This window comes from Homo sapiens, chromosome 7 (genome assembly GCF_000001405.40).
Source record: "Homo sapiens chromosome 7, GRCh38.p14 Primary Assembly".
Taxonomy (NCBI): Eukaryota; Metazoa; Chordata; class Mammalia; order Primates; family Hominidae; genus Homo; species Homo sapiens.
Genome location: NC_000007.14, coordinates 39616224 through 39631859, shown reverse-complemented (window position 1 = coordinate 39631859; position 15636 = coordinate 39616224). Strand labels below are relative to the sequence as shown.

General features: G+C 40.7%; 1 protein-coding gene and 1 long non-coding RNA gene across 4 annotated transcripts in view, besides 3 other annotated features; one reads left to right on the top strand and one right to left on the bottom strand.

Annotated features, from left to right (window-relative positions):
- Nucleotides 1-8288, bottom strand: part of RALA (RAS like proto-oncogene A) — an 84549-nt gene extending 76261 nt beyond the window's left edge. For 2 of the 3 annotated variants that reach the window (XM_047420682.1, NM_005402.4), the window contains exon 1: nt 8035-8288. The gene's annotated coding sequence lies outside the window, so the exon portion shown is untranslated. Of the gene's footprint in view, nt 1-7432; nt 7534-8034 lie in introns of those variants that run through there. The other variant, XM_047420681.1, reaches the window with a different exon arrangement.
- Nucleotides 7085-7134: a silencer, noted in NCBI's record as "silent region_18113". NCBI's record gives its function as "represses an Ori minimal core promoter by ATAC-STARR-seq in GM12878 lymphoblastoid cells {active_cell/tissue: GM12878}" and the evidence as "EXISTENCE:reporter gene assay evidence [ECO:0000049][PMID:35858748]".
- Nucleotides 7565-8412: an enhancer, noted in NCBI's record as "H3K27ac hESC enhancer chr7:39663047-39663894 (GRCh37/hg19 assembly coordinates)". NCBI's record gives its function as "activates a minimal SCP1, AML or CMV promoter by ChIP-STARR-seq in naive H9 embryonic stem cells {active_cell/tissue: H9 hESC(naive)}" and the evidence as "EXISTENCE:reporter gene assay evidence [ECO:0000049][PMID:30033119]".
- Nucleotides 7729-8238: a silencer, noted in NCBI's record as "silent region_18112". NCBI's record gives its function as "represses an Ori minimal core promoter by ATAC-STARR-seq in GM12878 lymphoblastoid cells {active_cell/tissue: GM12878}" and the evidence as "EXISTENCE:reporter gene assay evidence [ECO:0000049][PMID:35858748]".
- Nucleotides 8383-13799, top strand: LOC107986785 (uncharacterized). The gene is made up of 2 exons (XR_001745175.2): nt 8383-9427; nt 10246-13799. It is a non-coding gene; the product is annotated as an uncharacterized LOC107986785 (long non-coding RNA).
- Nucleotides 13800-15636: the final 1837 nt, after the last annotated feature.

Here is a 15636-nt window from a genome sequence, read left to right as displayed (position 1 = left end):
ATGAATTACCCAGTCACAGGTATACTTTCATAGCAATGCAAAAGAGGCTAACATAGTCAACTTAGTAACAATTTGGCAAGGTGGCAGGAAAATATGCAGAAATCAACAATATTCGTATAAATGGACAATAACCAGTTAAAATACATAAATGATAAGAAAACTATAATAGCAACAAAAAAGATAAAATAGCTTAGGAATAAGCAAGAAATGTTGAAAACTTGTATGAAGAAAACTATAAACCATTCCTCAAAGACACAAAAGTAGAATGCAAAAAATAAAAAGACATTGTTTGTTTTAGGTTAAGATGTCTCAATACCATCAAGATGTCAATTCTCTAGCAGGGCATGGTGGCACACACCTGTACTATCATCTACTTGGGTGGCTGAGGCAGGAGGATCACTTGAGCCCAGGAGTTCAAGGCTGCAGTGAGCTATGATGGCACCACTGCACTCCAGCCTGGGCAACAGAGGGAGACCCTTTCTCCAAAAAAAAGATGTCAGTTCTTCATAAGTTAGTATAAGTTCAATGTGATCCCAATAAAAACAGCAATGAGGCCGGGCACCATGGCTCACGCCTGTAATCCCAGTGCTTTGGAAGGCCGAGGCAGGTGGATCACTTGAGGCCAGGAGTTTGAGACCAGCCTGGCCAATATGGCGAAACCCTGTCTCTACTAAAAATAAAAAAATAAGCTGGGCATGGTGGCACACGCCTGTGGTTCCAGCTACATGGGAGGCTGAGGCAGGAGAATCGCTTGAACCTGGGAGGCAGAGGGTACAGTGAGCTGAGATCGCACCACTGCACTCCAGCCTGGGTGACACAGTGAAACTCTGTCTCAAAAAAAAAAAAAACAAAAACAAAAAACCAGCAATGAATTGTTTCATAGACTTAGACAAATTGATGCTAAAATTCATACAAGAAGGCAAGAAAAACAATGAAGAGGAAGCGCTATAATGGGTGACTAGCCCTACCAAACATTAAAACATACTACAAAGCCTCTATGATTAAAATGATGTGGTACTGGTGCATGAATGGTGAGATAATCCAATAGAAAAAAAATATACCCAACTGCATATAGAAGGAACAAGAATTTTTTTTTCTTTTTTAAATAAATGTCATTGGGGCAACTGGATAGCCACTTGGAAAAGGATAAAATTAGATGCATTCCTTATATCATACATAGAAATAAACTCTGAATGGAACTAAATGTGAGAAATGAAACTATATGAGTACCAGAAGAAAGCATGTGTGAATTTCTCTATAACCTGAAGGTAAGAAGTTTCCTGAATATGACTAAAACTTCAGATGCAGTAAATTTAAAATTTATATATTTGACTATATAAAAACAATCTTTTGCATGGCAAAAAATCACCACAAGCAATGCCAAAAGACGACTAGCAAAAATATCTGCAACATATGTCAAAATTAAACGGTTAATATTCTTAAATAGAGAGAACTTTTCAAAGCTGAGAGGAAAAAAGACTGAAAGTCGTATAGAAAATGGGCAAATTGGTCGGGCACGATAGCTCATGCCTGTAATTCCAGCACTGTGGGAAGCTGAAGTGGGCAGACTGCTTGAGCCCAGGAGTTTAAGACCAGTCTGGGCAACATGTTAAAACCCCATCTTGACAAAAAAAAAAAAAAAAAAAAAATTAGCAAGGCATGGTGGCATGCACCTATAATTCCAGCTACTCAGGAGGCTGAGGTGGGAAGATCACTTGAGTCTTGGAGGCTGAGGCTGCAGTGAGCTGTGATCGCACCATTGCACCGCTGCACTCCAGCCTGGAGGGTCCAGCAAGACTCTGTCTCAAAAAAAAGAAAAAAAGTAAAAGAAAGCTCGGCATGGTGGCTCACGCCTGTAATCCTAGCACTTGGGGAGGCTGAGGTGGACGGATCACGAGGTCAGGAGTTTGAGACCAGCCTGACCAACATGGTGAAACCCCATCTCTACTAAAAATACAAAATTAGGGTCAGGCACGGTGGCTCATGCCTGTAATCCCAACACTTTTGGAGGCCGAGGCAGGTGGATCACGAGGTCAGGAGATCGAGACCATCCTGGCTAACACGGTGAAACCCCATCTCTACTAAAAGTACAAAAAATTAGCCAGGCGTGGTGGCACGCGCCTGTAGTCCCAGCTACTCGGGAGGCTGAGGCAGGAAAATCGCTTGAACCTAGGAGGCAGAGGTTGCAGTGAGCTGAGATGGCGCCACTGTACTCCAGCCTGGCAGAGTGAGACCCCATCTCAAAATAAATAAATAAATACATACACACATACAAAAACGTGCTAGGCGTGGTGGCGTGCACCTGTAATCCCAGCTACTCAGGAGGCTGAGGCAGGAGAATCGCTTGAACCTGGGAGGCAGAGGTTGCAGTGAGCAGAGATCGTGCCACTGCACTCCAGCCTGGGCGACAGAGCGAAACTCCATCTCAAAAAGGAAAAAGAAAAGAAAAGAAAGTGAGCAAATAATATGAACAATAAAAATAAATATTAAAATGACCCTTAAACATATGAAAACATGTTCAATTCACTTGTAATAGAAGTACAAATGGAAAATACACTGAGATACAATTTCTTACCTATTAGATCAGCACAAATTCAAAAGCTGACAAAACACTGCTGGTGAGGCTGTGAGGAAATAAGCACTCTACTCTCATACACTGCTGGTAGGAATGCAAAATAGTATAACCCCACAGGATGAGGAGTTTGACAGTACCTAACAACTCTACATATGCATTTATCCTGAAGATGTATCTCTCCAACAATACAAAGATACATGTACACAAAGTTTTTCACTGTAACATCATTTGTAATTGCAAAATATTAGATATTACTTAAATGTTCAAACAGGACATTAGTCGAGAAAACTATGGTACATACACGATAGCAGTTAAGAATGAAAGTTACTGATTTTAGTTTATGTATTTTATCTTTTCACACAGCTACTGACTTGTTAGGAGATACATACTTATTAAGTTGTTCAGACCTAATTACTTAATAAATTAAACTGGCCAGGCATGGTTGCTGACGCCTGTAATCCCAGCACTTTGGGAGGCTGAGGCACATGGCTCACGAGGTCAGGAGTTCGAGACCAGCCTGGCCAGCATGGTGAAACCCCGTCTCTACTAAAAATACAAAAAATTAGCCAGGCATGGTGCCGCGTGCCTGTAATCCCAGCTACTCGGGAGGCTGAGGCAGGAGAATTGCTTGAACCTGGGAGGTGGAGGCGGCAGTGAGCCGAAATCGCGCCACTGCACTCCAGCACGGGTGAAAGAGCGAGACTCCGTCTCAAAAAACAAAAAACAAAAAAATTAAACTGTTAGGTGTTTCTTTTGACCTAGGGATGCTGTGAAAAAAATTACTGCGATAATAAGGGTGCCATGAATTGAGAAAGTTTGGGCACTTGACTGATAAAGGCCTACGAAGAAGGCCTTTAAGAGAGAGAAAGAATGTGTGTGTGTGTGTGTGTGTGTGTGTGTGTGTGTGTAGTTATGAGGTTACTGTGGACTGCTGTCAACAAAATTTACAATAGGCTAATGAAAGTACTCTCTCCAGTGTAGTTAAGAGCTGTAACAGATATTATGACAGCACATAAGAGAAGCAATCAGCCCAGTCTTAAAGGTTTTTTGTTTTTTGTTTTTTGAGGGATGGGATCCAGAGAGAGAACCTAATTGTAATTTTTTGGAGAATTATAACCTAAACTGAGTTCTGAAGGACCAGTAGGAGTATACTAGATTAGGGGAAGGAAGAGAGGCTAGAATTCCAGGAAGAGGAAATGGAGGACTGAGTAAACAAACACTAGCATTCCAGAAGCTGGGTATTGGTAGAACAAAAGATCATCCAAGAAGAGAGATAAGGCTAAAGGGTTAGGTAAGAAAAAAAATGAAAAATATGAAAGATAAAGGGGAAAAAAGAGAGTTAGGTAAGGAGCACATCTTGAAGGTTTTGTATATGAGATTAAGGATAAATGGAGTTTGAATTTTATTAATGGGCAAAAAAGAGCCACAAGAGGATTTTAAGCAGAGAAATATCACCATTGTTCTAAGCAAGAATGGGAAAAGTATCAGATGGGTTCCAACCATAGGCTAGAAGGCTGCTGTAGTAATCCAGAATATCTAGACAGGGCAGCTGAACTCAGTGTTTGGTCACGCAGTGTGGCAACCTCCACTTTTAATGGAGTACTATGTTAGCTTCTCAACTACATAAGAAAACAGATCCTGTGGCTTAGATGACCATAATCATAACTTTTGGAAACTGGGGGATCTTTGCCCACCTTCCCAATAAATCTGGGAGTATACGCCATTTTATAATCTAACTATGTCTTATTGTCCAAAATAACATTACCAAACCCTGACATTTAGTTTCAAAAGTAAATTCAGCAATAAAATTGGATCCCAGACTTTAAGGAGACTATGTATGTCAGTGTTACATCTATTGCATCTAATATAGGACCCTAGCTGTGAAGGCCTTTAAGAATAGTATAATTTTATGGAAGCATGCCTTTTTTGGCTTGTAAAGACTACCCTCTTGACTTTCAGAAACTAAGTCATCACCTTCACGTATAATTAAATCAAAGATGCAAATTCTCACCTAAAATTTACTCATACATATTTTAGAAACCCATAGAACTTTAATTTCTTTTTTTCTATACGGCAACCCAAATCCTTATGAATGCGATAAGGTAATAAGAAAGATGTCTTAAAGAAAAAACAGAATAACTGTTACTTATGGGGGCCAGACAATCAGCTGTTTTTTACTTAAGGGTACATCTTTTAAAAAAAAAAAAGAGAGAGAGAGAGAGATGGACACATTCTTCAAATTAAGCCTATTTAAAAGTGCATTTTAAAAAGTGCACAGGCTTAGGAGGGAAGAGAATTCTACCAGCACTGAATAGCAGCTAAACCCTTACAAGACTTCTGCCACTTTTAAGCCTCCATCTTAAACCCAGAGAAAATGATTAATGGTCTCAAACGGTTAAAAACAGACCAAGCACATCTCTGCTTCTTTTACCATTCTTTCTACTGTCCCCCATAGCTTCTCCCCCATTTCCATTAGTGAAAGAACGAACTAAAAAAAATGTGATTTCAAGGAAAGGTCACTACAAATAGATTTATGGTATTCCTCTCAAATAGGGACGATTCTGTTACTTTAAAAAGCACTAATCAAACACCAGAATTGAGTCCAAATACTTTACCGGGACACCCACGGGAAAAATGCCCAACCATTTTTCCATCATGGCACACATGGACGGTGATAACACTGTATTTGTAGGCACGCTGAAGATAAAAGAGAAGAATGGCTGCTGCTTGAGGCCACCTGGCCAGGACTGCTGGCAACCCCAGGCCACACTTGATGTCCAAGAGAGAGGAATCAGTATCTTCACCTTCCTGAAGCTCCAGTTCCAGCTCAGTCAGAACTGCCTTTTCCACAGCCATTTAGGATTAACTGCAATAATACTCAGTGCTCTCAGCAATTGTTACTTTCAAATCTAGGCTCTACTAAACACAAGCTAGGTGCCTAGCCTCTGGCAAATAACTTCAATTTACCTTAATAAAGTATGGGAAAACTACCTGTCTTGCAGAAGTGTTGTGGAGATTAGAAATAATTTAAGTAAAGCTCTTATCACAGTGCTCGGCAGGCAATCAACACATGAGAACTCTTATTACCAAGAGGGTTGCTGAATTAAAGAAGGAAAATCTAACCTCTGTATAGTGGTAATGTCACTGAGGTAAGAAATTGCTGGCTTCCCTCTCCTTAGTGTCTAAGAGTTAAAATATTTTATAAAACAATGAAAATCATAAACTGTCTCCTTCAAAATCATAGTCTTTTTCCTCATTAACATTCACAGCCTCTTATTCCAGTATTTTAAAAGTAATTGTCCTTGCCACTCATCTACTAAAGAATACAAATGCATATTACACTGATATGCATATCTACAAGAATTGACACTGGTACATGTATTTATGTTCTGTAGAAGCTAAGCTTGGAAAAACAGTGCAGGACCACCACCACATACTTGGAGAGGAGAGAAAACGTCAGCACTTTCTTCTTATTTGAACCTCCCTAATGTGAAAATAATCCAACCATCTACAGACAAAAATATTCCCTCACAAATGGTAGACAAGATTCTTTTCTATAATTAGCCCTTTCTTCCTTTGGAAAGCCCTGTGAAGAAAGTGTTGTAATGAAGTACTGCTTCAAAATAAATGATCCATATTATTGCACACTCAGCAAACACACTAGAGAACAGCATCTGGATCTTGGAAAATAAATGTAAAAGAGGCTATTGGTAAATCATGCCAAGGTCACATCAGGATTTCAGAGGATTGCGTGTATTCATGGGAAGAATGAACCACTATAAGCATTCTGGGAAGCACCACGTTATCCAAACAATGGTAACTCCTAATTTCCTCTTTTTCATTAAGATAGGGTACAGTTATCAACCCCAAACATAAACTTGATGTGTATCACCAGGCAGTCTCTTCCTACTAACTCTGAATATGCTCAAGTAGTAAGCATTTAACACTAGAATACAAGTTATAATGCCCAGCACAATTTTAATATAATTTTAACCTTTCAGAGGAGGATAGTTTTGGAAGGCAAAGAACTCTGACTGCTGAAGAATGAAACACGAAGTAAAGTCTGTAAGTGGCAAGAACCTAAAACAAAACAAACAGCCTAGCCCAACAAAAATAAGCAACTCCTGGATGGTGACTGTGAGATAACCTATACACTCATTCATTCAGTGCAGAAATGTGTGAACAGCTTCTATGTTCAAGGCATACTGCATAGAAACAGTCATAAGTAGGACATGGCTCCTGCCCTAAAGAAATCCAAGGTCAAAAAACGGTGTTGTCAGATAATACTTCACAATAATAGTGTATTATTTTAATACAGGAGTCGGTTTAGAATAATATTGTATTACCAGAGACAGAAAAACATGAGCTAATAAGACACACTGAAATACATTAATAAACATACTGTAAGAGTTTACCAATGAAATCTGTTATCCAATTTCTGGAATATGATTAAAGTTGCAATTTACTTTCTGGAAAAGAATTAACTTATGATACATGTTTTATAAAGGTTGTTCCCCCCCCACACCACACAATTTGTAAATTAGGTGCTTTTCAGCTTGACACGTAGGGCGTGGCACGGGACTTCTCACACTACCTCAGCCACACTTGGATGAGCTCTTACAAGTCTGGACATTCAGGTTTCCGAGCACAGGCCAGTTAACTCCCTAATTCTCCCTAAATCCTGAAACAACACTGCCACCCCTGTGTGCCGTCACCCCCGTCTACTTAAACACATATATCCAGGCTAAAGCATGCCAATCACATCTTCCACTTCTGGAAATCTTTCAGAAACGAACCACAGAGGAAACACCTCTCTCCCAAAATGTATTCTCTTCCTCATATTAGAAGCTAGATTACCTGAAAATGGGCTAAAGCTGTGCAAGCGCCCAAGGCCAGGTATTCAGTTCAGTGCGGAGAGTCTAATGACTTTAAGTCTGAAAAACCATTCCTTTAACTGGCAAAAAAAAAAAAAAACACAAACAAACAAAACAAACAAACAAAAAACCCTGGCGGAGATGCTTAAAAAGCAGCGGCTCTAGCACAGGCAAGGAGTGGAAAGAAAGGGAAGGAGGGGAGAGGGGTGGAGTGAGGCGCGGGGACTGCGGCGGCAGCGGGTTGCCCCAGGTCGCGGGCACCGCCCGGGCGGGAACTTGGGCGCCGTGGACGAAAGGTGCGGGGTGACCTTCGGACGAGGCCAACTGAGACCGGCTGCCGGGCGCAGGGGACCTCTCCGCAGCCGCTCACTCTCGGGGGCTCACTCGCCCCACAGCGGCGAACGCGGTGCCCCGGATTCCAGCCGGGCTCATCTCGCAGCTCGTCCCCGGGCAGAACGTGGGATGTGCAATCTCGGCAGCCCGAACCCGCGTCAGGGCCTCGGCCCGCCGCCGCCCGGACACACCCCCGCCGCCGCCCGGGTGGCCCCAGTCCCTCCCCGGGCGGCCCGAGCGGGCATCGCTCACCTGCACCGCGAGCCAGTCCGCCGCCCCGAGGGCTCCGGAAGCCGCGGCTGCGTGGCTCCGGCCGGAGGGTACTCGGTCCTTGTCGCCTGGAAGGCCCCGCGCCGGGAGCGGTCGAAGGAGGAGTCTGACGGGTGGCGGGGGAGCCTGGGCGGCTGGAGGAGGAGGAGGAGGAGGAGGAGAAGGAGGAGGAGGACTCCGACGCTTTGCTCTGGGGAGATCCACCCTCCTCCTGGCGGCTCTGCAGCAGCCGCCACAGATCACTTCCGGGGCGCTGGGGAGCGGGGCGGGGCAGCTGGGGAGCGACTTCCTGTCCGTGGGCTGAGAGGAGGGTGATCATGGGCCTGGGCCGCAGAACAGTGGCTCGGAGGGCGCAGGCTGCCCGGCCTCCGCCCCCTGCAAGCTGAGGGCTGTCCGCGCTGTCTTTCCGACGGCCCCACCCCCGGCTCTCTGAGCTCCGCGAGGTGAAGTCATCTCCCGGGGGCTCGGGAGTGGCCGCGGGCCTCGCGGAGGTTCCCGGATCTCGGCGTCGTTGCCGCGGTGTCCTTGTCTTTCTTTTGGGGACCAGGAGGGGGTTCTTGGGGGAAGGAGGGGAGAGCGGAGGCCGCCATCTTGCTTCTAGAGGGTCAGCTCATGTTCCCTGGGCGTCTCAGGGTTGAGGCCGCTCGTGTGGCGTGGCCGGGGGTATTCAGAGCGGAGCTGGCGACGTGGCTTGTCACGGGCCAAATCCCAGGAGGCGGGTCAGCCGCCTACCCTGGCTGGAGGGTCTCGTGGCTGCCCTGGGCCTCATCTAACTGCTGATCCCCTGGAGAATTCGCTTTCTCGGACGGTCTGCGAGTTCTTTCTGAGGGGTGTCGGACCCCCCTGCGACTCTGCAGGTGTCGGTGTGGCACTGAGATCATCTTGCGGCCCCATGGCACTGTGATTTGGTAGCTTGTGAGAAGTAGTTTCACTAAATCCGTAAATTTAAGTTAGCAGCTACAGATTCTTATGTCTTGACATTTATTCGCTTATCTCTCTTTGCTCCCCACAAATTGAGTACCAACTATATTCCTGGTATGAGCCATTCAAGGAATGTCCAGTCTAGTGGGCAGACATACATGAAAGCAAATCATTGCTATTGGAAGTATGGTTTATCAAGATGTACAGCGTGAAGAATGGATAGCTTTACTAACGTAGGTTAGAGTTTTAAAGATAAATAGGCATTTTCTACTACAAAAATAGGGGTGGGATGGCAAATCCGGATCCGAACAGAAAGGAGATGCAGCACGGGGACAAATAATTTGTTGAGAAGAATGAGTAATAATTACAGGTCTTGAAGTTCAAACTTAGGTTGCTGAAGAAGATGAGGCTGGAGAAGAAAACAGGAGCCAAATCACGAATCGTCTATGCCTTGGTGAGGCAATGAGTGGACAGATTACAATTTAAGCTATTCTTCTGTTGGTAGAGAACAGATAACTTGGGGGGGTGGAGGTGGGGGGGCAGAGAAGGATAAGCAGAGAGCCCACAAGGGGGCCATTGCAGAAGCCAGTAAGAGAAAACTTAAGGACCCTGTGTGAATGGTAGTGAGCATCCAAAGGAGATGGATTCCTAAAATATTCAAGAGGCCATATCAACTGGTAATTGGTTGCTAGGGGCAGCTGCCAGATAGGAGAATGGAAGAGGCAATGATGATGCCTTGTTTTGCTTTGAGGGAGGGGCAGGATAAGGGTGTATTTTACTAAATAAGATAAGGAAGAGTTAGGATGAGTCCTGGGAGGGGACATTTTTGCAGAAAAAAAATGAGTTCAGTTTTGGAGTTGATGAGTGAAGTAAGAGTGGTGCTGTCTAATGGTGGTTGCTATATGGGTCTAGAGCTCTAGGGAGGAGCTGGGCTGAAGTTGGAAACACCACAGGTTTAGATGACCATAACCAAGCTGACTGCAGTCTTACGTCATTGAGCACAGTTTCAAAACCACTTCTCCTTTCTCCCTGCCTTTACTTGGGAAAATTACTGAAATACTGCATTAAAAAACCCAATATGGTGATATGTGTCCATCCATAGACCAATATTCTAATGTTTAATGGTCTTCTAAGGACCCTAAAGGTCAGGTTTAGCAGAAACTGGATGTAACAGTGGTAACTATTAATAGTATAGCATCATTAACTCATAAAATGAAATATTATCTATGTTTATATTTTAATATTTTAATTTTTTTCTTTTTTATTCTGTAGGAATTGCTCCATTCCAATAAAAATATTTTAAATTTAATCATTGACAACAGTTAAGCTGGCCATAGGCTGAGGATTGAGGATGGTGGGTTGCACAAATATCTGCTGAATGGAGAGCTAGAAGGAGGATGACTTCAAGAAGAGTCAGCAATAGGAACGCAATGAAAGACAACCTCAAATTCATTAGTCAGCCTGTCTCAGCTGCTTTTTGGTGGCTCACAGCTATGCTAACCTAGCATAAAGCAGTGAGAAATAGAATACTTCATTTTGAGCAGAGCTTCAGAAAACCACAAATAGTAAAAGCCCTATAAATAATAGCTACAGCTGCAAACCAAAGACTAATTATTAGTTTTTAACTCTATATCCCTGTAGAGCAGCATTTTTGAACACACAAAAAAAGAGAAACGCGTTCACTTACGTCTTAGATTATTTAAATACAGTATTCTCAATTTGTCTAGGATAAAAAAGCATTTAGGTGTATTGAACAACCATATAATGGATAATATACTGAACAGGAAATGAGAATAATTAGCTTGAGTCCCTTTTTTGTCAGTTGTTCACCGTATGACCCTAGCAATGTTACTTAACCTCTCTATGCCCTAGTTTCTCTGACTGTAAAATAGAGATAATAATAACTTTCTATCAGCCGCCTCTCAAAGATATTATAGGAAATAACAAATTAATGCTATGAAAGCTCTTTGAGGTACTTGGATGAAAGGGCATAATTGTAAGTACATATTATTAGTAATTAGCACTAATATCCAGTAGCACCCATGAGCATTCCTGACTTTGCTGCCTGGATTACTCAAAGAACATGAAGGATCCTGTTTTGAAATACACTTAGATCTTTTTTCTTAACTTGTGAATTGACTTTACTATTTATGATCAAACCTTGTGTATTAACAAATATAGTTAATGAAAGAGGGAAGTAAAAAGAAGTTTTGGTAACCACAACTTTTATATTCATGCTACTCATAGCTAATATATGCTTTGGGGGAAAATACAGGGTAGATAGGGATTTGCCAGAAGCATGTTTTAGAATTAATGATTAGTCTACTCCAGTCAGTTAACTGGAATTTTGTATTAAAAACATTATTCATGTCCCCATAGAATAATGCAGTCCCTATAGAATTTATAGACAGTTACATGTTTGACACAATTAAGTTGAACATTCCTGTGAAACTCTGTCATTCTCATCACTGTTTAATCACAAACATGTAATGAAATATATAGACTTGTGAAGTTTTGTCCAATGTCTATCCCTAAAGTAGATGAGAATTTTTTCCATTAAATTGGTGACTTCAGTATTTCCTTTAGAGAGGTGTATGCATAATGTAAACATTTAAATGTATTCATGACTACATAATGTGCATGTTTATTTTTATACACTTGCTTATATACCAATTTATAAAATTATCATATAATGTATATTAACTATACATCTGGGAACAGCAATGACAAACAAGGCTTCTTTGTGTTTTAGGGCCAGATAAGAAAGTAATTGGTTAATAGCCATTTGTCACCACTGGTGAAAAATCAACTCAAAATCATGTTTTATTATTTATTAGAGTTATGAGCATTATCTATAAGATTCATGACACCATGACTTGGTGTGGTGGCTCACACCTGTAATCCCAGCATTTTGGGAGGCCGAGGCATGTGGATCGCTTGAATACAGGAGTTAAAGACTAGCTTGGACAGCATAGGGAGCCCTCATCTCTATTAAAAAAAAAAATTAAAAAAAAACAACACTAGGCAGGCATAGTGGCATTCACCTGTGGTCCCAGTTACTCAGTAGGCTGAGGTGGATCCCTTGAACCCAGGAGGTCGAGGCTACAGTGCCTGTGATCATTACACTGTACTGCAGCCTGGGCAACAAAATGAAACCCTGTCTCAAAAAAGAAAAAAAATTCCGTGACACCTTGACATTTGTACTATTTCATTTTGTTTTCACAATTTTGTGAGATACAAATTGTTGAAAGAAATAGGCTCAGAGTGCTGAAAGACTAGCGCTCTGAGACTAGTTTTTAAAGACTTAAAAATTCACTACAGTTGTCAAGTAACATACCCAAACACACATTTTGAGATTCTCAAAATATATTGTTTCTTTTAGTACTTTATACCAGGGTCACCAGCTTGATATGACAGTCCAGAATGTATTTATAATATGGACATTTCTGGCTTATTATTGATTGCCTGCAGCATCTCCAAAATTCAGCCAAACTTAACGTTTTTAAAACTGAAAACTACAATTCTTATGTTTATGGCTGTATCTTTACCAGCTTGAAGACAGGTACATTGTTTTATTCATTTTTGTATCCTTCATGGTGCCCAAAATAAGTACTCAGAAAATATTTTGGGGATGAGTAAAATGTATATTGTGATGTTTAGTTGAATTAGCGGGAAAAAAGCTGATACAATCACCTCAGAAACTTTTTTAGGAGGTCGTACACATTTTCAGCACATTCATGTGAAGATAGTTTATTTGGGTTTGTACTTTAAATTGGTGGAACCATTGCCTCAATTTCCCACTTCATTTTTAATGACGTCATGCCTTGGAGAGATAGGCTTAAGTAGGTGATGCAGATGACAGTCACCTGTATGATATGCCTCTGGATATGTTTGTTGGGCTTAGATAGTCCGGATGACCCACAACAAAAGGGTCATCTAGAATATCTAAACACAGCTTTAATGAGAATGTGTAAAGAGTGGGGTTATGAGAGTTTGGGTCTTCATAATTCTCCCCTTCATGCCGACGACCCTTGTGGACCACATATTTCTATACTTTTCTGTCAAGGGATTAGAGGATAAGACTACTCTATCAGTGGTTCCCAAATGTGACTGCTTATCACAATCACCTGTGTAGTTTCAAAGGCAATTCAGATTCTCAAGTCCCACTCTAAACAGAAAATATTTAGATTTAGGATTAGAAAATACTGGGTGAAGTCCAAGGCATCTGTAACTGTAATAACACTCTCCCTTGAATTCCAATGATCAGTCAGGTTTGGGAAGTTCTGGTTTCAATAACTTGTTCAAGGTCACACAGAACCCTAAATAGAGCCAGAAACTAACTCAAATCTTTTGAGTCCAAGTTAAATATATTTTCATTGGACTCCTGCTGTCCATTTACTGACAATATATGATGGGGTAGGATGAAGAGGTGGGGAGAAAAGTAGCAATTTTAGTTTTTTCATTTTTATTTTTTACCATATTCTATGACATGGTTTTAAGATTAAATGAGCTAACATCCATAGAGTGCTTAGAACAGTATCTGGCACATGGTAATTAGGTGTAACGGTTCAACGAATAAGTCTCCATTGTCCAGTCATGGCATTCACTTTGCCTGGGGTTACATTAGGTAACATTTTATTGGATATCGACTTTTTCTATGAAGAAAAAAATGTATGTAAATAAAGGTGGAATCTTTAGCCTTTATTTGTCATGGAAGCCCTGAATTTGTATAGCTGAAAATATTTCTATATTGTTTCTTTTCATCTTTTCTGATATATTAAGAAAATGTTAATGATATACTTATTAAATAAAATTGTGGATGTATAGCTGTGTAGTATTTTTATATTATCTAATTTAGCATATAAGATAAGGTATTTTACATTGTCTTCCTATCACTGAACTAGCTCCAAAATTGATTCTTATTGGTATGTAATTAAGCATTTAGTTTTTAGAAGTTATTGTTTGGATTGATCTTCCAGATGAAATATTTCCCCTTAACGAGGTAATAGATATACGTGGCTCTATTTTATTCCCTTATTTCTCTGCAAGTTTTTCAGTTTTTCAATCTTGAACAACTTTTTACACTTGTTAATTATAAATAAAATTATGCATTTTCATTACTAGTAAGGGAAGAACCCAATTTAATACTTTAAAATGCTCTTTGATACATTTGGACAAAGTCTGTGAAAATATGCCTTTGGTCAGTCCCTGTCACTATGAAAATTGACATCCATTTTTGTTTTTATTCAGTTTTATAAGTTATATTATTTTTGAGGGATTACCCTATACCCAGCATCAATTTCTAGTGGCTCCTGTAATCCCAGCACTTTGGGAGGCTGAGGCAGGAGAATGGCGTGAACCCGGGAGGCGGAGCTCGCAGTGAGCCGTGATCGCGCCACTGCTCTCCAGCCTGGGCAACAAAGCGAGACTCCATCTCAAAAAAAAAAAAAAAAAAAAAAAAAAAAAAAAAAAAAAAAAAAAAAACCAATTATTGTATTATAAATGAATTGATTTATCCTGGAAAAAGGTAGAAGTAGTGATAGACCAGAACAGAAGATATTTATAACCTCAGGAGGTATATGGCAGGTAGAGTAGATCAGACTAATGGAGAAGCTAGAAAAAGAATCAGATATCATCAGTGATGAAGCTCCTAACTATTTGAATCCAGAGTCAGCCAAGGAAATGGGGTTAAATTACCACTTGTGAAATATTTGCAGTATTTCAGACATTGTATAAGGCACTTACCAAAACAAGAAATGGCTGGCTAGGTCCCATGAATCTAGGTAGTTTGAGTCTTGAGAGTCAGAGAAAATAGTAATAGTAAACAGGATATTTATATTACTCTATATTTCTACACTTATATACTTTATTATAAGAATTCAATTAATAATAACATGAGTGTGTGTTAGTTACTACTTATAATCAAATTAACAAGTTTTGAACTATACTCATTCCTTCCTCCATTCTTTTTACAATAGAGGCCATCATTCAATGCGTATTCTAGGTCTTGGCTACTCCTGTCTAGTTGGGACCTTGGTCCATCAATTATTCTCTTTCTGTTGTGTCTTCAGCCTCTCACTCTTTACTGGTTTCTTGCCATTAGCATTCTCATTTGTTAAAGTGTCTTCTTCATGCATATCCTCCTTCTAGCTTCTGCTCAAATTATCCTTTCCCCTAAGGAGAATTTTTGAGAAAATTGTCTATGCTTGCTTATCACCAATTCCTCACCTCCAAGTTACCCTCAACCATATATTAGACTTTTACCCCCAATACTGCTGTGAAACTACTCTTGATAAACTTACCAACATCATTCCTATTATGAGATATATCTTAGTTGTTAATGTTTCAATAGTATTTGAAGCTATTGACCATTTTTTCCTTTCTGAAACAATCTTTTCTCTTGGCTTCTGTGATACCATGCCTAACTGTTTCATTGTCCTTTGCATGCTCTGTCTTTGCTTAAATATTGCCACTCCAAGGAATTGTAAGGCTCTTATCAATGTAGTCTAGTCTCCACATTCTTTTTGGATGATCTCATCTACACCCATGGTTTTATACACCCATGGCTTTACTTTCTGTATATTGGTGACTTCTAGCTGTGAGCTCACTCCTAAGCTTGAAACCTATATATTTAATTCCCTATCTGATATCTCTTTGAGTGTT